Source organism: Homo sapiens, chromosome 16, assembly GCF_000001405.40.
Source record: "Homo sapiens chromosome 16, GRCh38.p14 Primary Assembly".
NCBI classification, from domain to species: Eukaryota; Metazoa; Chordata; class Mammalia; order Primates; family Hominidae; genus Homo; species Homo sapiens.
The window spans coordinates 58,112,220-58,132,382 of NC_000016.10; the positions used below are offsets into that span (position 1 = coordinate 58,112,220).

General features: G+C 44.8%; 1 protein-coding gene and 1 long non-coding RNA gene across 6 annotated transcripts in view, besides 6 other annotated features; one reads left to right on the forward strand and one right to left on the reverse strand.

Annotated features, from left to right (window-relative positions):
- Positions 1-1,372: 1,372 nt before the first annotated feature.
- CFAP20 (cilia and flagella associated protein 20) lies at positions 1,373-17,162 on the reverse strand. Of its 2 annotated transcripts, none has more exons than NR_136632.2 (6): positions 16,813-17,162; positions 4,653-4,732; positions 3,822-3,933; positions 3,050-3,238; positions 2,591-2,836; positions 1,373-1,811 (listed from the first exon to the last, which is right to left on the reverse strand). NR_136632.2 is itself a non-coding variant. In NM_013242.3 (6 exons), the coding sequence occupies exons 1-6, from the start codon at positions 16,894-16,896 to the stop codon at positions 1,806-1,808; spliced, it is 582 nt and encodes a 193-aa protein (NP_037374.1). In that variant the 5' UTR covers positions 16,897-17,162; the 3' UTR covers positions 1,373-1,805. The 2 variants fall into 2 exon arrangements, 1 of the variants encoding a protein (NP_037374.1); NM_013242.3 differs by having other exon boundaries at positions 2,591-2,701.
- Positions 14,823-14,892: a silencer, noted in NCBI's record as "silent region_7543". NCBI's record gives its function as "represses an Ori minimal core promoter by ATAC-STARR-seq in GM12878 lymphoblastoid cells {active_cell/tissue: GM12878}" and the evidence as "EXISTENCE:reporter gene assay evidence [ECO:0000049][PMID:35858748]".
- Positions 16,426-17,347: an enhancer, noted in NCBI's record as "H3K27ac-H3K4me1 hESC enhancer chr16:58162549-58163470 (GRCh37/hg19 assembly coordinates)". NCBI's record gives its function as "activates a minimal SCP1, AML or CMV promoter by ChIP-STARR-seq in primed H9 embryonic stem cells {active_cell/tissue: H9 hESC(primed)}" and the evidence as "EXISTENCE:reporter gene assay evidence [ECO:0000049][PMID:30033119]".
- Positions 16,665-20,163, forward strand: part of LOC101927556 (uncharacterized) — a 31,541-nt gene continuing 28,042 nt past the window's right edge. For all 4 annotated transcript variants that reach the window (NR_188514.1, NR_188516.1, NR_188515.1 and 1 more), the window contains exon 1: positions 16,665-17,444. This is a non-coding gene — a long non-coding RNA (uncharacterized LOC101927556). The remainder of the gene's footprint in view (positions 17,445-20,163) is intronic.
- Positions 16,687-16,826: a silencer, noted in NCBI's record as "silent region_7544". NCBI's record gives its function as "represses an Ori minimal core promoter by ATAC-STARR-seq in GM12878 lymphoblastoid cells {active_cell/tissue: GM12878}" and the evidence as "EXISTENCE:reporter gene assay evidence [ECO:0000049][PMID:35858748]".
- Positions 16,887-17,056: an enhancer, noted in NCBI's record as "active region_10922". NCBI's record gives its function as "activates an Ori minimal core promoter by ATAC-STARR-seq in GM12878 lymphoblastoid cells {active_cell/tissue: GM12878}" and the evidence as "EXISTENCE:reporter gene assay evidence [ECO:0000049][PMID:35858748]".
- Positions 17,348-18,268: an enhancer, noted in NCBI's record as "H3K27ac-H3K4me1 hESC enhancer chr16:58163471-58164391 (GRCh37/hg19 assembly coordinates)". NCBI's record gives its function as "activates a minimal SCP1, AML or CMV promoter by ChIP-STARR-seq in primed H9 embryonic stem cells {active_cell/tissue: H9 hESC(primed)}" and the evidence as "EXISTENCE:reporter gene assay evidence [ECO:0000049][PMID:30033119]".
- Positions 17,949-18,186: a silencer, noted in NCBI's record as "fragment chr16:58164072-58164309 (GRCh37/hg19 assembly coordinates)". NCBI's record gives its function as "represses an EF-1alpha promoter that drives an FKBP-Casp9 reporter gene in an ReSE screen in K562 erythroleukemia cells {active_cell/tissue: K562}" and the evidence as "EXISTENCE:reporter gene assay evidence [ECO:0000049][PMID:32094911]".

Below are 20,163 nucleotides of genomic sequence, written 5' to 3' on the forward strand. Positions count from 1 at the left end.
CCTAATAGGGGGATGCTGATAAGTGCTTTTCTCTGCCCTCAAATTGCTTTCCCCTCAGAAATGTTGCATGTGGTAGAGTTGTATCATATACAGTGCTTAACTTTTGCAAATTCATCTGTGCCTAACCAAAAAAAAAAGAAAAGAGAAAAAGAAAAAAGCAGGCAATAGTGCCAGTGTCATTCCACTCAACAGGCATCTGCCCAGAATAAGCACAGTGGGAAAAGTGGTGTAAGGTTCCAGTTCCCTCATGCGATTCCAGCGTTTAAAGAAACATTTTTCTGGCCGGGCGCAGTGGCTCACGCCTGTAATCCCAGCACTTTGGGAGGCCGAGGCGGGCGGATCATGAGGTCAGGAGATCAAGACCATCCTGGTTAACACCGTGAAACTCCGTCTCTACTAAAAATAGAAAAAAATTAGCTGGGCGTGGTGGCGGGCGCCTGTAATCCCAGCTACTCAGGAGGCTGAGGCAGGAGAATGGTGTGAACCCAGAAGGAGGAGCTTGCAGTGAGCTGCGATGTTGCCACTGCACTCCAGCCTGGGCGACAGAGTGAGACTCCGTTTCAAAAAAAGAAACATTTTTCTTTAAGTCCCTACATTCAAGGCCAGTAGTACTTCAGCGGGAACTCAAATAGAGAAATGGTGATCTGCTCCAATGCTTTAGGTGCAATTTAGACTATGTCATTCTGTCTTAAGCTCAACCTAGGACCCAACCCCTAGCAAGATGATTCCACTGGTCACATACTATTTTTTTTTTCCCATTTAGTCTTCAAAGTTGTTCTGAACCAGTTTATACAGTTGACCCTTGAACAACTCAGAGGTTAGAGGCACCGACCCCCTTATGCAAAAATCTATGTATAACTTTTGACTCTCCCAAAGCTTAACTACTATAGCCTTCTGTTGACTAGAACCCTTACTGATAATATAAACAGCCATTCAACACATATTTTGTATGAATTACATACTGTATTTTGTATTCTCACAATAGGGTAGGCTACAGAAAACGTTATTAAGAAAATCATAAAGAAGAGAAAATATATTTACTATTCATTAAGTGGATCATCATAAAGGTCTTCATCATTGTTGTCTTCACATTGATGAGGAGGGGAAGAGGAGGAGGTGGAGGGAGAGGAGGAGGGACTGGTTTGTTGTCTCAGGGGTGGCAGAGGTGGAAGAAAATCCTCATATAAATGGACCCGCACAGTTCAAACCTGTGTTGTTCAAGGGTCAGCTGCATAATATGTCTTGTTCTTTAGATACTTAATACAAGACATTTCACAGCATGAAATGTATAAGATGTTCAATGGAAATAGTTCTCTTTTCATATCACAAAGGAAACAAACATCACCATGAAAAAAGACAAACTAGGAACAAATTTACAAACCAGGAATATATCACTTTATTCATTTCCAGATTATGAGTATGACACAGCATATACATATATTTAGATAATATATAAAACATAGAATAAACCGCAGGAAGAAATATTGGTCTGGAATTCCTTATGGGCCATCTTTAATTCTGTAAGTTCATGGTAAAGGTATCTCCCCCCACACTGGGGCAGGCGGCGGAATAAGCTCCAGCGTTCATGCGCCACTCACAGGACTGCTTACCCCCACTGCACTTACAATGCAGTCACAGAGTTACGGCATGTTCACCGGTGTCCATGACAAGCAACACCAAGTATAAATAACAGAACTACAGCAGAGCAAACTAAGATAAATATGTTTTTGCATCGTCCTCCACATAGTTTCCTTTTAAAAAGAAGAGTCACATCCAGGGGTCTATCCCTCGAGTCACAATTCCAGTTATTGCTGAAGGGAAAAAACAGAGAAGTGGCATCAGTTTAAGTTACTAGAAAATAGATGGTCAGTGTCACAGGCCCCCTGCCTCTGGTGACACTTGAGTGGACAGTGACTGTGGAGAATGGACACACATCTGCAGCACACAGGCAGGGAAGCACCCACCCTTGTGTTAGCAGGGACCTATCAGCTGATAATACTTTTGGGCTGATTAAGAGTTAAGATGGGGCTGGGCACGGTGGCTCACGCCTGTAATCCCAGCAGTTTGGGAGGCCGAGGCAGGCGGATCACTTGAGGTCAGGAGTTTGAGACCAGCCTGGCCAGCATGGTGAAACCCCGTCTCTATAAAAATTAAAAATTAGTTGGGCATGGTGGCAGGCGCCTGTAATCCCAGCTACTCAGGAGCCTGAGGCACAAGAATCCCTTGAACCTGGAAGGCAGAGGTTGCAGTGAGCTGAGATCGTGCCACTGCACTCTAGCCTGGGCAACAGGGCAAGACTCCATCTCAAAAAAAAAAAAAAGTTAAGATATTTTCTGAAGTTCTGTGAGCCAGTAGTAGGAAGTGCCTCATCCCCTCTCACCGTGGAGAGGGGAAACAGCAGTAACAGAGTATTTCACAGGAGCATTCCTGATTCAGTGCTGGAAGGAGACCTAAGATCTTGCGATATAAAGGCACCCCAAAGTGTCAACACAGAGAGGCTCTGCAGCTGAATTCTTAGACCAGAGCACCTTCCAGGAACACAGCTCCCCCCACTCACTGGTGGACCTTCCTCTGGGGAAGACTGGCTTACCTTTGCCTTGTTCTGAACTGGGAGATACAGTTTGAACTCTGCCGGCAGCTCATCTTCTGAGTAGAGTCTGTCTGAGAAGTAAACCCGTCGGATGCGACAATTTGCATGGATCTGTCAAGGCAATGCTTCTTTTGAGAGGCGAAATGTGACTGTTCTCCCCCTTTTCCTGAATCTTCTAGAGGCCCTCTTCCAGGACTGGAAACGCGTCATCTCCGGCATCTCCTTGGCTTGTCTTAGGGATGGATTCTGGCAAGAGGGAGGTCTTACTTGCTGTATTCACCTCTATACCTGACCCGACTTCTGAATATTTCCTGGACCTTTGTGAGGCCAAAGCTCCCTGGACAGTGTGGCAACTGAAGCCAGAAACCCACACTGTTCTGCTATGTGGGCCACAAGCCAATATTAGACGCAGTGTGCCCTATCCCCAACCCAGGGCTCTATCTGGGAAAGGAGCAGTACCTGCACTCTGAGGGTCTCGATGTAATTGGTGCCGTATGCTCGCCGTGTGAAGTCTAGCAAGTTGAACTGAATCTGGTTCCAGCCGTCATCCAGCCGCATGGGCATGGTGCAGATGAAGGGTTTGACCCGGGTGGTGCTCTGGTAGTTACTTGCCCGAAAGCGACGACGCACATTCTTGTCATCTAGTACCTGTGAAATACAGAGAAGAAGCATCACACTAGCTCTGTCTTGGAAGAAGCACACAACCTTGTCCAGACAAGGACCTGAATTCCCACAGCTTGCTTTCCCAAGGCTGAGACTTAGAGGAAAATAAACAGACCAGACACAGGTCATACACTGCATGCAGATGGCCCGGAAGTAGCAAGTTTATCTTGTTTGTTGCCAAGACAACACCAGCTGCTTATGACATATAACACAGTCAGCAGGCTCTCAGACCATAGAGTATATAAATGTTCTTCCTTTTGAAAAATCAGAAATACTAAAACAGAACAGCCACCCACTATTAAATAATCACTCCCCAAATGGATACCACGCTAACTCTGACACTTTGAAATTACTAGGTTTTCTAGGTGCTGTTTCTTTAAAAACCTGATTAAATTTTATTACTAATATCAAATTTACATAACAAGGACTGCACTGGGCTTATACTAGAAGCAGAAAAGAATACATGCAAAAGGATAAAGATACTTTGTAGGGTCACTTTTTCCCATCAGTTCAAAGGCTATCACTTTGGTATAGCCAAGAGTGGACACATTCATGTACACATACTTACCTGCACTTCGAAGGTAAAATACTTCTTCAGGTTTTTGATAATCATGACAAGGAAAGGAAGTTTAATTCCCAGCGTCTTCTTGGGGTCTGCAGGGCATGTGATATATGTGGTGCTGTAGAGAGAGGAAATACTAATAAACACACTCCTGGACTCTCTTCCTTTGTGGTATGCACAACAATAACACACGGTCCAAGAGGATACACTGGAAAGCAGATCTAAAAGATTCAGACACGCCACCCAGTGAATCCCTCAGCCCTAAGTCAGCGGCTGCTTTAACAAACGCTGGACCCAGAAACAAAAGCTTAACACAGGACTAGACAGCAGCAATAAAATATCTGAAAAACAAAGCCAGACAGTGGATCTTAGAAGCTCCTCCAGTGAGAGAAGACCTCAATTCTGGTCCAGGGGAGCCATCGAATGACAGAAAACCAAAACTGAGACCTCTATGGCACTGAAAACCACACTGTCCACCCACTGGATGAGCTGTACAACACTGCCCACTCCCCACCCCAACACACACTTTGGTTAATAATATAGCTAATACTGACATCGTGCTTACTATGTGCTAAGCAAGGCTTTACGTGTTTTATATATATTCATTTATTTACTCCTCGCAATAACCCTATAAGGAAAATGTACTATTATTCTGCCCATTGTACAGATGAGTATGCTAAGGTCTGGGGGATTCAGTAACTTGCCCATGGTAAGCTCTAAGTGGCAGAGATAGACTCACATCCGGCACTCTGACTCCGCAGTCTGTGCTATTAACCTCTATGACGTACTGCCTCCCTAGTATATGATGTCTCTGGGAGAACAGAGGTGGCAACCTACCTTACATTTGTCCCTTCAATCTCTAGCACCAGGGACTGGATGTCATTATCAGTGATTCTTTTGATGTGGCCATTCCGTACCTACAAGAAAGAAAATTCGATTAGTACTGAAATATCTGACAAGGCTGAATAGGACTATTTAAAGAAAACCACGGTAGCCCAAGAGGCGTACAAAGAAATTTGTGACACAGCACACTGAAGCTTATATGTAAGTAAGCCAAGCTATTACCTCTAGACAGGGTCACACCAACCACCAAGGGAATCCCAGGTAACTTGGCAATCCCTAAATCTGGGGAAACTTCTCCCCAAATACATCAACTCAATTTAGATTCAGCTAATATCTACTGAATGCCTACTATGCACCAGGAATATCACACACATCCCCTTCTCACTTAAGCCTCACACAATAAAAACAACAAGGCAGGTGATACTGTTTTCATTTTACAAATGTGGACATTGGCACCCCGGAACTGCAAATGCCAAACCCTAAGTAGGAGACTAAGGATTCAGCAGCCTTTCCACTGCCTCATACTGCCTCGTAGATTTCTTTCTTTCTCTTTCTTTTTTCTTTTTTCTGAGACGGAGTCTCGCCCTGTCGCCCAGGCTGGAGTGCAATGGCGCGATCTTGGCTCACCGCAACCTCTGCCTTCCAGGTTCAAGCGATTCTCTTGCCTCAGCCTCCTGAGTAGCTGGGATTATAAGCGTGCAGCACCATGCCCAGCCGATTTTTTTTTTTGTATCTTTAGTAGAGACGGGGTTTCACCATGTTGGCCAGGCTGGTCTCGAACTCCTGACCTTGTGATCCACCTGCCTTGGCCTCCCAAAGTGCTGGAATTACAGGCATGGGCCACTGCGCCCGTCCTGCCTTGTATATTTCTTTGGCCAGAAAAGCCAAAGAAAAGCTGAGTGTTACTGAGGAGGGCAGCAACAAAAAGTGAAAGCATTCCTCCCCTGGAGTTATCCTGCTTCATGCTTCCCTATCTGCTTTTGCCTAATTTTCTACTTTTTAAAGCAGGAATTCAATTCCCATCTGTGCCACACACAGATGCCTTCTTTAGCATTTTCAGCCCACACTGACCTCTCTTTTCTCTGATTTGTTTTTCTGGCTCATGTTGTCTAGACGACATAATTTAGCACCTCATCCTACATTGTTTTGTATTGTTTGCTGCATATGTAGGAGGTAGATGATGGGGAGGAATCAATATTCAATACAGATTCCTCCTCTCAAAATATTTAGGAAAGAACAATTATCTTCAAGCATTAAACTTTTAAGCAACTAATATGGACAGAACAGAGATATGCAAAGGCACTTTCAAAACAGGGCTGGGGCCAGGCACAGTGGCTCATGCCTGTAATCCCAGCACTTTGGGAGGCCAAGGCAGGAGGATAGCTTGAGCTCAGGAGTTCAAGATCAGCTTGGGCAACATAGTAAGACATTGTTTCTACAAAAAATTAGCCAGGTGTGGTGGCGTGCACCTGTAGTGTGCCTATAGTCCCAACTACTTGGGAGGCTAAGGTGGGAGGATCACTTGAGCTCAGGAGGTCCAGGCTGCAGTGAGCTGTGTTTGTGCCACTGCACTCCAGCCTAGAGGAGTAGGTGACAGAGCAAGACCCTATCTCAAAAAAAACAAAACAAAAAACGAAAAAAAAAAAACAAAACCAAAAAAACATGGCTGGGGTCAGGCATGGTGGTTCACGCTTGTAATCCCAGCACTTTGGGAGGCCGAGGCGAGAGAACTGCTTGAGCTCAGGAGTTCAAGACCAGTCTGGACAACATGATGAAACCCCATCTCTACAAAAAATTAGCCAGGTGTAGTGGCACGTGCCTATCGTCTCAGTTCCTCAGGAGGCTGAGGTGGGAGGATAACCTGAGCCTGGGAGGTCGAGGCTGCAGTGAGCCGTGATTGTGCCACTGTACTCAAGCCTGGGCGACAGAGTGAGATCCTGTCTCAAAAATGAACAAACAAACAAAAAAACAAGGCTGGACTATTAGGGCTGAATGGAATAACATATGAAAAAGATCAACTAGGTTTAGAACAGGAGACATCAGAAAGACAAACATACGGTCTTTCTTTGTGGAAAGGGCTGTGTTAGGCTGCCATAATCAATGACTCAATCACACTGACTAAAGCTCCTCTTGTTCACTCATCAGCCTGCTGATTACGATTTGGCTATTAGACTTGCATATGGGGATAAATCAGTGTTGGGTCTGGTAGTTTTATTTTTCAACATAAATTATTAATAATATGTTTCTGTTTTTAGACATTAGTCTCTGTGAGCTCTGTCACTGTGAGTCTGATCCACTCATGGTCTGCCTGGTGTTCTAAAGGTGACATCTGATGTCACTGCCCACCTTTTCCACAACTGCAACCAAGTCTTGTCTCCTTAAAAAAGAATAAGCTCAAGCAAGAGCCAAGACCAGTTATGAAGCATCATTTCTATCTTCGACAATGCTTAGCACAGTGCTAGCCATAAACTAAGCGTTCAAATATTTGCTGACTTCTGGAATCTGTCACCCTAAGAGCTGGCACATATGAATAGGTTCAAGGAGGGTTTTAAAAATTCCTGGATAACACATCCCCCGTGGACTATTATAGGAAGCCAGAGATCTGGGGCATATCACAAAGCCCACAGGGCCGCCAGCATGAAGAATGCTTCCACAAATGGGTGCCCATTGTCAGAGACAGAATACTGGGCTAGACGGGACCCCAATCCCTGCCAATGGAGCATTTCTTAGGCTCTCAAGACACAAAACGTCACATTGAAACGATTCTCAAACAAAGCTGGCAATGTTCAATGCCCTCCTGCTTTGAATTCTGGGCCCCTTTCCAAGGAGATTAAGAGCACAAAGGCCTGGGTCTGTGCAGAATACGCCACTACTGCCCGCCTCACTCGCCATCTACTGTTCCCAACCTAAGTGCCCACCTCACTCGCCATCTACTGTTCCCAACCTAAGTGCCCACCTCACTCGCCATCTCATGTTCCCAACCTAAGTGCCCACCTCACTCGCCATCTACTGTTCCCAACCTAAGTGCCCACCTCACTCGCCATCTCATGTTCCCAACCTAAGTGCCCACCTCACTCGCCATCTACTGTTCCCAACCTAAGTGCCCACCTCACTCGCCATCTCATGTTCCCAACCTAAGTGCCCACCTCACTCGCCATCTCATGTTCCCAACCTAAGTGGCGATATTCCTCCTGTATTTTCTGTGGAAAACCAAGCAGATTCAGTGAAGAAGGAATTAATGAAGAAATCATTTCCAACTAATGCGAGCAGCCCTACTGATAAGAGCTGGCAGTATTCCAACAAGATGCAAACACTACTTTTATAACACACCACTAATTATTCTCAATAACATAACCATTCTTTAAAACGGGACAAACTGCAAAGAGCAAATAGACAGTTAAATTGACAGGATTAAGAAGTAACTTGGGCCTGAAAACTGCTATTGCTAAAAAGCAACATGTTGCTATTGATCCACCCTTATTTAAAGCATGCCCTCAAATTTCACATCACTCAAGCTCTCTCTGGCCAGTGTCAACAAGAGGCCTCCCTCAGTTCCAGAAAGACCAGCCAGATCTCACAGGGAGAAAATGTTAGGGAATCTGCCTTCTGCCCATCTCAAAGTTTACGACTTCCCTGGAACTCCAGCAGATATGACCTATTCAGGTCTTCACAGAAGAAAACAAAGCCGTACAATGCACACAGAAGCCAATGCAGGCTGGAAGCTGGATAGACTGTAGTATTCCTGCACTTCTGCCCAGAGGCAAGCTAACTTTTAGTTGGATTTTCAATAAATTACTAAAGAGATTTCTTTTTCTCCCAGTGTTACTAGATAACAAACACACTCACAAATTTAAGTTTTACAAAATGAATGAATGTATTCCACAAAACAAGGGAACTTGGAGGGGTCAAGGCAACTTTGTTGAAGGAATGCCCATCAGTCTCTCTAGATTTTGAACCTGGCTGGTGGTAAGACAAACTAAACAGAGCTTTTCCCCAAGAGACTGTTTAACCCCCGATGAAGAAAAACACAAGTATCCCCATGTGAAAAGTCTCCAGAGGTTTGAAATCAAATTAAGTGGATTTGTTAGTGAATTGTGATTTTTCTCCTTTATTAAGTTTAAAGGGCTGCAAATACAAACTCACTGGAAAAGAGTAGCGTGGAGGTGGTAAGGGCGATCAATCAGATATGTGCATTAGAGGGTAATTTCCCAAAGCCTCTTCTCTAGGCTCTAAAACTAGGATCAAAGGGGAGAGGCGACAGGCAATTTGGGGCAAAGGCTCCCCACCACCCTGGCCATGTGGCTGTCATTGCCTAATATTATAAAGGTCTTCCAGGAAAGCAACCGTCTCCTAAAACCAGCTTCTGAAAACAGCATACAGGAAGATACATGTCTCAGAAAGTATCAACGTCCTTTCCTTAGCTCCTTCCAGTTCAGAGGTCACTGGGCAGGCGTGGCTTTGGGATGAAGATAAAATGAACTGCTCAGCATTTATTGCTCATGGCGGAAGCAGGTTTTAACATGTTCTGTCCTTCTCTAGATCACAAAGAGCCGACTGTTTTTGATTTGTTAATTCTTTTTCATTCATGACACATTCCCACTATCAAAGTGTGGCCTATGAGTGCTTTATTCCTCAAAAAAAATAAAATAAAAATAAAAATCTAAAGCCAATATTGTTTTATTTCATTAATTTCCCCTCCCCTGCCCATGAGCTGGAGATACTCAAAGAGCTTCAGAATCCAGTTACTGGCAATTACAGATCATAATGGTTCTCTGCCTCTGCAGACAACAGAGGTGACCAAAGCTTCAGGCCAGTCTTACAATCACTCTCCCAGGCTTTCCATGGTTGCTAGGGCAACTAATAAAGAACACCGATTTCTCTCCCTCCCCGCAATGTAAGCCTCAGGGAGGTGGGTCAAGCTGAGGGAAAAAAAAAATACTACTACTGGGATAGGGAGGGAGCTGGTGGATGCTGTATATTTCTATGACTGCTTTAAAAATAACATGAGTTGTATCCATTCCCTCCCCCAACTTTCATTTTTCTGGCCCCACCCACTCAGCCTGGCAGGCAGCTGAACCCTCAGCCATCTGGCATCCTAGCTTTAATGACACATGCTCTAATTTACATTAAACCATTAGAGCTGTCCATTTCAGCAGGAAAGTTCCTGCACTGGGTTAAGGGCTGGGTTCCCAGACAGAAATTAGGCAGAGGGAGACCCCTGTGGGGAGAACTGAGCATAGCTCCGACTCAGACTCCCAGGCTCCAAGGGTCAAAGGCTTCACTCCCTTCGCTGTACTTGACAGGGGCTATCCAGACAGCAGACAAGCAACTCTGGGCATACACCAACAACCCCTAAGTCAGCGTAAGGACAATTATGTGCACAGCTAAGAAAAGGCAAGTGTAATTAAAACCCATGTCTTCGGACGGGCGCGGTGGCTCACGCCTGTAATCCCAGCACTTTTGGAGGCTGAGGTGGGAGGATCACCTGAGATCAGGAGTTTGAGACCAGCCTGGGCAACATGTGAAACCCCATCTCTACTAAAAATACAAAAAAATTAGCTGGGTGTGGTAGCGCATGCCTGTAATCCCAGCTACTCAGGAGGCTGAGGCAGGAGAATTGCTTGAATCCAGAAAGAGGAGGTTGCAGTAAGCTGAGATTGTGCCATTGCACTCCAGCCTGGGTGACAGAGCGAGACTCTGTTTCAAAAAAAAAGAAAAACAAAACCAAAAAACCATGTCTTCGTTCAATTACAGTAAAACCTGACTCAGAATAATGAAGAACATTCTCCAAGTCAGAAAAAAAGTTTTACCACCTTTATGTCCAAATACACTCAATTCTACTACTGAAAACAGCACCAATTTAATTTTTATCAACAAGGCATGCTAACTAAAAACTAGAATGTAGGAAATTTTTTCTGAAGAGAGACTTTATTTTTAAAATTAGAACAGGACATGGGAATCTAACACTATCCAGCAACAGCAGAAGACTCTGGTCTAATATTTAGTCTTGGAGTAGGGGAGAAACAGCAGCAGCTGAGAGAAAGACAGGGTGACAGGAAAGACAGACAAAGGCGTTTTCATGAATTAATGCAATCTCATCTCATGTACTTTTAGGATACTATCTTGTTTTTTTTGAGACAAAGTTTTGCTTTTGTTGCCCAGGCTGGAGTGCAATGGCACCATCTCGGCTCACCGCAACCTCCACCTCCCGGGTTCAAGTGATTCTCCTGCCTCAGCCTCCCGAGTAGCTGGGATTACAGGCATGTGCCACCATGCCCGGCTAACTTTTGTATTTTTAGTAGAGACGGGATTTCTTCATGTTGGTCAGGCTGGTCTTGAACTCCTGACCTCAGCTCGCCTTGGCCTCCCAAAGTGCTAGGATTACAGGCGTGAGCCACTGCGCCCAGCCAGGATTACTACCATTAAGACCGAAAATTGGCTGGGCGCAGTGGCTCACGCCTGTAATCCCAACACTTTGGGAGGCCAAGGCAGGCGGATCACGAGGTCAGGAGATCGAGACCATCCTGGCTAACACGGTGAAAACCTATCTTTACTAAAAATGCAAAAAATTAGCTGGGCGTGGTGGCGGGCGCCTGTAGTCCCAGCTACTCCGGAGGCTGAGGCAGGAGAATGGCGTGAACCCAGGTGGTGGAGCCTGCAGTGAGCCGAGATCGTGCCACTGCACTCCAGCCTGGGGGACAGAGCAAGACTCTGTCTCAAAAAAAAAAAAAAAAAAAAAAAAAAAAAAAAAAGACTGAAAATTACAGCATGTTTTACACAAGTATAAGTGGGAACAGAACCTCCTGGTATTTTCCTTACAACCAGAAGTAATGTTTACATTAAACGTAAGAGTCTTTTAATAAATATAAGATTTGCTGGTCCCAGATGTCAAGGTAACATTAAAGAAACCCCTAATTTCTTCTAAGCTGTTGGTTTAGAAACTTACAAAAGCTTCTATCAGGAAACTGTATAGCCAGGAATACAGACCTTAAGAAGCTAATAATGTCAAGTGTGATAAGAAAGAAGTAAATTAACTTACCCTGAAGAGTTAAGGAAGGTCACTCTGAGAAAGGCCTTTGAACTGTGACTGGAGCCTAATGAAAAGATGGGAGTGAGGCTTGTGGGGTGGTGAGGGGCAGCGCCCAGCAGAAGGACCAGGAAGTGCAAAAGCTTGAAGGTGAGAGAACAGGACTTCCTTCAATTCAGTAGGAGGCTACTACTAAGAGGGGGAACCGGGTGAAGTGAGTCCCGCCTGGAGAACAAGTGAAGCAGGTGCCAGAGCATGGGTTATGTGGCCTTAGAGCCACATTAAGGGCTTAGGGCTGGGCGAGCCACGGTGCAACAACTAAATTCTTCTCATTTCAGGAGTCTGGTTTTACAGTACTTCCTATTCCTAGAAATCTGGATGGTGGGCTAAGTTCAAACATCTTATTTTAGTTTTGAGCAAATTCCTCAGTCCCTGCCATATTTAATTCTGTATGTCATTACTTATAAAGTACTAACTACAGTCATGCATTGCTTAAGGATGGGATTACGTTCTGAGAAATGCCTCATTAGGCAGTTCCATGGCTGTGTGAATATCAGAGTGTACTTACACAGACTTAGACAGTACAACATCCTACACACCCGGGCCATATGGTATAGCCTATTGCCCCTAGGCTACAATCTGTACAGCATACTACTGTACTGAATACTGTAGGCAACTGTAACATAATGGTACGTATTTGTGTGTCTAAACATAGAAAAGGTACAGTACTGTATAAACGATAAAAAGTGACACAACTGGATAGGGCACTGGCCATGAGTGGAGCATGCAGGACTGGAAGTTGCTCTGGGTTGAGTCAGTGAGTGAGTGGTGAGTGAATGTGAAGGCCTAGGACATTACTGAACACTTTGTAAACACAATACACTTATGCTACAATACATTTATTTTATTTAGTTATTTAGTTAGTGCTGGGATTACAGGCATGAGCCACTGTGCTTTAGTTATTTAGTTAGTGCTGGGATTACAGGCATGAGCCACTGTGCCTGGCCAGACTACACTAAATTTATTAAAAATATTTTTCTTTCATCAATAATAAATTAACCTTGGCTTACTGGAACTTTTTTACTTTATAAACTTTAAAAATTTTAAAAACTTTTAGACTATTTTGTAATAACACTTAGCTTAAAACACAATGTTCAACTGCACAAAAATATTTTCTTTCTATATATCTTTATTCCATAAGGTTTTTCCTATTTCTTTTTTTAACTTTTTAAACTTTTTTGTTAAAAACTAAGACACAAACACACACATGAGCCCAGGCCCGCACAGGGTCAGGATCATTAACATCAATCACAGTCTCCACCTCCACATGCTGTCCCACTGGAAGGTCTGCAAGAGCAATAACGCACATGGCGCTGTCATCTCCTATGACAACACTGCCTTCTTCTGAAATATCTCCTGAAGGACCTGCCTAAGGTTATTTTACAGTTAACTTTTTGTTCTTGTTGTTAAGTAGGAGTACATTCTAAAATTATGATAAGGCCAGGCACGGGAACTCATGCTTGTAATTCTAGCACTTTGGGAGGCTGAGGCAGGAGGACTGCTTGAGCATAGGAATTCAAGACCAGCCTGGGCAACATGGAGAAACCCCGTCTCTACAAAAATACAAAAATTAGTGAGGTGTGGTGGTGAGGGCCTGTAGTCCCAGCTACTTGGGAGGTTGAGGTGGGAGGATTGCTTGAGCCCAGGAGATGGAGACTGCAGTGAGCCCTGATTGCACTACTGCATTCCAGCCTGGGCAACAGCAAGACCTTGTCTCAGAAAAATAAAATACAATAAAATAATGATAAAGAGTATAGTAAATACATAAGCCAGTAACATAGTCATTTATCATCAAGTGTTAGGCACTGAACATCATTGTATATGCTATACTTTTACATGACTGGCAGTGCAGTAGGTTGGTTTACACCTACTCACAAACACGAGTAATGCATTTGACTTAACGAACAACTATTATGTCACTAAGCGACAGGAATTTTTCAGCTCCATGATAATCTTATGGCACCACTGTCATGTGTAAGGTCTGTCGTTGACTGAAACGCCATCATGTGGTGCATGACTACATATACTGTAACTCTGTTGCTAAGGACTTTATATACAGCTTCATTGAATCTTCATAACCGTGAGAAATAGACGAGAAAACTGAATGGTTAAGGACATAGCTAAGATCACACAACTGGAACACAGCACAGCCAGGATGCAAATCCAAGGTGTCTGACCACGCCCTAGCATTGAGGTTTTTCGGTAAGGTACTGTTCTTCTGCTTAAGGAACCTGCAGTCCAGTGGACGATCTACAATAGAAAACTGCCAGCCACAGGCACACCCATGAGGCTTAACTCAAGTTCTCAATGAAAAGAATGTTTAAGTTGAGATTGGAAGGATGAGATGGAGGGGAGGGGCTGTGAGCTTCAGAGAGTCAAATAAATTGCCGGTGTGACAAACACTAACGAACAAGCCATCTTCACAAAAGGGAAGCTTGCAAATTCACTGGTACTGTGAATACAGCGTTCACTTCTATGCAGACAGAGCCTAAACAAAAGTCAAACCAAATTTCTCAAGATTCTTCATAGAAACCGAACAGAAATTCTCTCTATATATACTCATGAAAGAAAACAACAAAGTTTTCTGAAATAAAAATAACTATAAATAGGTACCACAGTCAATATATACCTACTGGCAAAAGTCAAGGTCATGTCTAGCTAAATGTAGACAGTCCTCACCTCCCCACAAACTCTGTCCTTATTACAACTTTGCCTTAGTCCCTGGCAGCAGGAAAAATATTTTCTCTATCTTCCCAAGTCTACACAAAGCCTGTCACTAAGCTGTCGCTCAATAAATCTTTGATAAGTACATCAATTCCCAGTGTTCCCCCTACTGGATTGAATTTCCAGCACTTTATGCAGACATAGCTGAGAAAAAGCACACACGACAAAGCTGAGGGATACGGCCCCAAACTTTCCTTTTTCTTCTCTTTCCTTCCCTTGCCCCAAGAGGGGAAAAATCCTCAATTCTAAATATTTTTCAATTGAGTCTAAATAAGAAGAGTTAGAAACACAAAATTAGCTTTTACCGTTGTGAAGATTTTGCTTGAAATGAGTGTTCTAAAGGTTTTGCCAAAATGTCTGTTTAATTTACTCCAAGTAACCATGCCAATCGATTTAACAATGTTTTCACACGTGTTTATGTCATTAGGGTACCATCCGACCTCTAGTGGCGTTGTTAAGGGACACAGTGCACCATGGTTACTATGCTTTTATATTCTTGGGTAAACATGTTGACTATTCAAAAAGCCTCATTTGAAAAATAAAACACAGCACACAAGATCAAGCCCAGAAGGGTTAAAATGGAAAACTGATACAAGTTTCGTAACAGAAATTCTGAGGCCTCCCTACTACTGGAATTCTTTCAGCTTTAGTAAGTTCTCTATCTGCTCTGAAAACCTCTCCTCCTAGGTCAAGTCCCATTCTCGATTTCAATTGCCTTATACTGACACTTTGTTACAATTCAGTTTCCAAATTCCACTGGCACAGAGGGCCCCCCTCTCTTCATGCCTTCTGACAGCCCATAACTGAGTCAAGTGACAGCTGGGAAGCCAACCTCCTTACGGAGTTCCCAGGCACCCTGGGCTCTCTTTGTACAGATGCAATTTACAGTTTACAATGCTTTATTCCATTGTGAAAAAATACATGAAACTAAAAACCTCAGTAACGCAGCAACGTTAAGGAACTGCTTTCCTGTACTCTGGCACTAGCTCTAGCTTGTGGATAGAATCATCTGAAAGAGAAGAGATGGGCAGATTTTACATACACAAAGGCCCAACTTCATTATATTCAGATTTTTCAACTATCTTATGAAAGTAACACTATGGACACACCATCCTAAAAGCTGCCCTCAGAACGCAGAGTTCCCTAGTGGTGACAGGCAGAAAGCTGCTCATGTTCTCTCCCAACTTTATGTGGCCCTCATAAAGAGCTCTCATGTGTGGATAAGGGAATACAGAGACGTGTTCCAAGATAAAATTCAAAATTCTTGGCTTCATTACCAATAAATCCTACTGAGATTATTCCACATGCATCTCTCTAAAAAGCAGCATTCGGCATACCCACACTCGCCATTCTCCCAGAGAGCAGTACTAAGAATATGACTTAAATTTCACATTGGAGTGCCTCCCGTAACTTATATTCAAGAAATAGTACAGCTGATTGCCTGGGAATTTGCATGAAGAACGAAATACCAAAGTAATAAAATGCAGACCAATTCATAGACAGCTAGATCTTTCTTCACATCTGCAAAAAACAGATTCATCATCTCGTGGGGCCAAACACATATCATCTAGTGGATGCCTGAATAAAGATGAGGCCTGTACTTGGCTCTGAGTTTATTAATCCAAACAAGACTTTGACTGTCAGCATTCTGCAGTTTTCCTGATGGAGAAATCAGGCACCGAGGGCATAGTACAGGCAAGTCACAGTGAGTGTGGAGCAGGTGCCAAGGGCCACTGAATTCTGACTTATTTGGGATCAGTGGGAGGAAGGGAGCAAATGAATGCAATTTAAACATCACTGGCTTGGCCGGAGTCTTTCTGTCTGCTCCTCTGTAAGGGTGCCTGAACAAAGGCTCTGTGTCTAGTGCCCAGCACCGTGCCTGGCACAAAAACGGATATCAGTAAATATTTGGAATTCGTGAATAGCAGGTCCTTTCATCTTTACATCCCCAAAGCTCCTTCAAATAAGTTCGTGCATTTCATGCTACGAGATGGGCACCATCAACCCCATTATATTGGTGGGGAAACAGTGGCTCAAAAGAATGGACTGACCGACCAAGTCAAGACAGCAGCGAGGGTCGCGGTCCTAACCACACCACAGCTGCAGGACACTTAGATCTCAGCCACGCCCACCCACATGCACCGCCCCCCCCCCACCTCCTCCGCTGCTTACACGACGCCCCCACCTCGCGCCCCAGTCCCGCCAGGCTGGGGACAAGGCACAGCAGCGTCCTCTCGGCCTCTCCCAGGCCCCAATTCGACACAACCATTCCCCGTCCCCAGCCCCCGGACGAGGAGGGGGTGCAGCCCCTCCACCCCGCCCCGTCGCCGCCCCTAGCCCGACCTTTTTGTCCCAGATTTGCAGAGGCTTGCTGCCGATGCTGTAGAGGATGGAGAGGAAGCCGCTCTGGAACGTGTTTTTGAACATCTCGCCGGCGGCCTTCTCCTAAGCCGCCCCCGGAGCCGACCTAGGCCCCGGAGTAGATACAGGCACCGAGCGTCGAGGGCACAGCAGCAGGCCGGCCCTGTTCCGAAGAAGGGTGGTTGAGCTCCTGGCCTCCGGATCTGCAGCCACTGATGGCCGGACTCGGACGCGGCAACGCTAAGTCCGCGATCTTCAGCTCCTAAGCTGCGAGCTCAGAACGGAAACCACAGCAACTACCGTCCGCGCCGCGGTATTTCCCCGCCTTCAATGGAGGCGGAGGGCCGCCCGTTGCTTAAAATGAATCCCTCCGCCCATCTGAGCCCGCCCCCCGGGAGCGCGGGGCCCAATCCCGTTACAAGGACCACGGACTTCCGTTTCGTTCCGCCTGTAAGTCCCGCCTGGTCCCGCCTCCTCCTGAAAAGAGCTCAGTTGTCAAGGAACTATTTTTCTTGCCGTCGTCCCAGAGATGCCTTTGGAAAAGCGGAAGGGCACGGAGGGTTCTGGAGTTCGTTGCTGGCACCTGCGTGGTGTCATGAGAACGTGGCGGGGCGGTGAGTGACGTGAGGGGGCGTGACGGCCAGGCCGGGAGTAGTTGCCCGCGCGGGAGAACAGGGGCTGCGCAGGGAAAGCGGCTTTGAAAAAGAGCTTCTTGGCGTCGGGCGGACGCCCAACACATGCTTGTCGGCCAAGTACAGGATAAGGTTAAAGGGAACTAACCAATATTCAGCACTAACTGTGATAAGCGCCTAATATACATCCCTGCCTGTCATTATTCACATTGTGGCATGCAGTCAAAGCGACACTCTGAGGAAAATGTATCGCCTTAAATACATTGATTAGAAAATAAGAAAGCCCGAACATGATTAGGCCGGGCGCGGTGGCTCACGGCCGAAATCCCAGCACCTTGGGAGGCCGAGGCAGGCGGATCGCTTGAGTCCAGGAGTTCAAGACCAGCCTGGGCAAAAAAGCGAGACCCTTCCTCTACAAAAAAATACAAAAATCAGCCGGGCGTGGTGGCGCGCGCCTGTAATCCCAGCTACTTGGGGGGCTGAGGTGGGATGATCCCTTGAGCCCGGGAGGAGGAGACTGCAGTGAGCCGAGACCACGCCACTGCACTCCAGCCTGGGCGACAGAGCGAAACCCGGTCTCAAATAAATAAATAATCCTGAACATTAAGATAAAGGCAGACATTCATAAACAAAATTAAGAAAGTTGAGTTGAACCAACAGCTGATTTTTATTTTATTATTTATTTGTTTATTTATTTTTGAGACAGGATCTCGCTCTGTCACCTAGGCTGGAGTGCAGTGGCGCGATCATGGCTCACTGCAGCCTCGACCTCCCCTGCTCAGCCTATCCTTCCACCCAGTCTCCAGAGTAGCTGACTACAAGCGTGGGCCACCATGCCTGCGTTAATTTTTTGTTTTTGTAGAGACAGGGTTGCACTGTGTTGCTCAGGCTGGTCTCAAACTCAGGCTGGTCTACACTCCAGCCTGGGCAACACAGTCTCTGAAAAATAAAAATAAAAATTAATACGGCTGGGCGCGGTGGCTCACGCCTGCAATCCCAGCACTTTGGGAGGCTGAGGCAGGTGGATCACGAGGTCAAGAGATCGAGACCATTCTGGCTAACACGGTGAAACCCCGTCTCTACTAAAAATACAAAAAATTAGCCGGGCGTGGTGGCGGGCACCTGTAGTCCTAGCTACTCGGGAGGCTGAGGCAGGAGAATGGCGTGAACCCATGAGGCAGAGCTGGCAGTGAGCTGAGATCACGCCACTGCACTCCAGCCTGGGTGACAGTGAGACTCCGTCTCAAAATAAATAAATTAATAAATTAATTAATACCTAGAATATTTTAGAAAACATAAAGTAAGCTACATTTTGAGTGTAAAGGGAAATCTCAAATGTTGACATAGTCACTGAGCATCTACCTAAATATTGTATTTTTTGCCTAGGCCTGTGCTGGGTGGTATGGCTGATAGAAAAGGAGTCTGTAGCTAATATCATCATTATTAGCAGTTTTTGTCCATTATAGCAGTAAGTTGAACATTTACTATGTGTCAGGCACTATATATTAACACCTTAGCATGTATTAACTCATTCAGTCCTCACATCAGCCCCCTAAATAATCCAGCCAGAATTTCTGGACATAGTGAGAAAATATATGAATCTTATTACTGTAGAAAGTCAAAAACTTTTTATATGAAACTGTCATTTTTGGATGATTTCTGGAGAGGCTATACCTTAGACTGATGAACAATGTATCCTTTGATTTTTATTAAATTGTTAAAAATATCTTAGGCAAAAATTCCAGTTAAGAAAAGCAGACATATTAAAGAAAGAATTGACTGTAGAAGAGTTATTACGATGATTATTCAAATGCTACACACAACTTTACCCCCTTGAAAATCTGTATGAGATAAATTATTTTCTAGGAAAAAAGTGACCAATTTTGGGTCTAGAACTAGAAAACCAAATAAACAATAATCATAGAGGAAAATAAAGGTTGTGATTGCTCCCCTCCAGAAAGGTTCTGAGTCTAATTACTTTATGTGAGTTTACTTTTTTTTCTTTTTCTTTTCTCTCTTCTTTTTTTTTTTTTTTTGAGACAGAGTCTCATACTGTCACCCGGGCTGGAGTGCAATGGAGCGATCTTGGCTCACTGCAACCTCCGCTTCCTGGGTTCAAGCAATTCTCCTGCCTCTGCCTCCTGAGTAGCTGGGACTACAGACGCCCACCACCATGCCCAGCTAATTTTTTGTATTTTTAGTAGAGACAGGGTTTCACTGTGTTGGCCAGGCTGGTCTAGAACTCCTGACCTTGTGACCCTCCATCTCCCAAAGAGCTGGTATTACAGGCATGAGCCACCGCGGCCGGCCAAGTTTACTTTTTTCTGATTAATGTAATCTAATATTAAGTTCATTGAGGAAACTGTGCAAAATAACATTATGATCACTCATAATGCCATTATTCAGAAATAATTGTGTACTTTTGTGTATTGTCTGTTCATGTCTTCCTGTCTTGCCATCCTCACCTATCCATTTGACTTAAGTCATTCCCCTTCCTCAATCCAATTGTTAAAAAATACATACAGACATTCATGGAAGTTTTGTTTTAAGACAGACACAGCCAGGCGCAGTGGCGGCACCTGTAAGTCTCAGCTAACTGGGAGGCTGAGGCAGGAGGATCGCCTGAGCCTGGGAGGTTGAGACCAGCCTGGGCGACATAGTGGGACTTGTCTCAAAAAAGTAAGATAAAATAAAAATAAGC

What these genes read in the sequence shown, in the direction of transcription:
- CFAP20 (NM_013242.3), bottom strand. Translation starts at nt 16,896, where the DNA reads ATGTTCAAAAACACGTTCCAGAGCGGCTTCCTCTCCATCCTCTACAGC. An exon ending in ATTGAAGGGACAAATGTAAG is followed by an intron (nt 3,934 to 4,652) that starts GTAGGTTGCCAC and finishes CTCTCTCTACAG; the next exon opens with CACCACATATATCACATGCC. An exon ending in ATTTTACCTTCGAAGTGCAG is followed by an intron (nt 3,239 to 3,821) that starts GTAAGTATGTGT and finishes TGTATTTCACAG; the next exon opens with GTACTAGATGACAAGAATGT.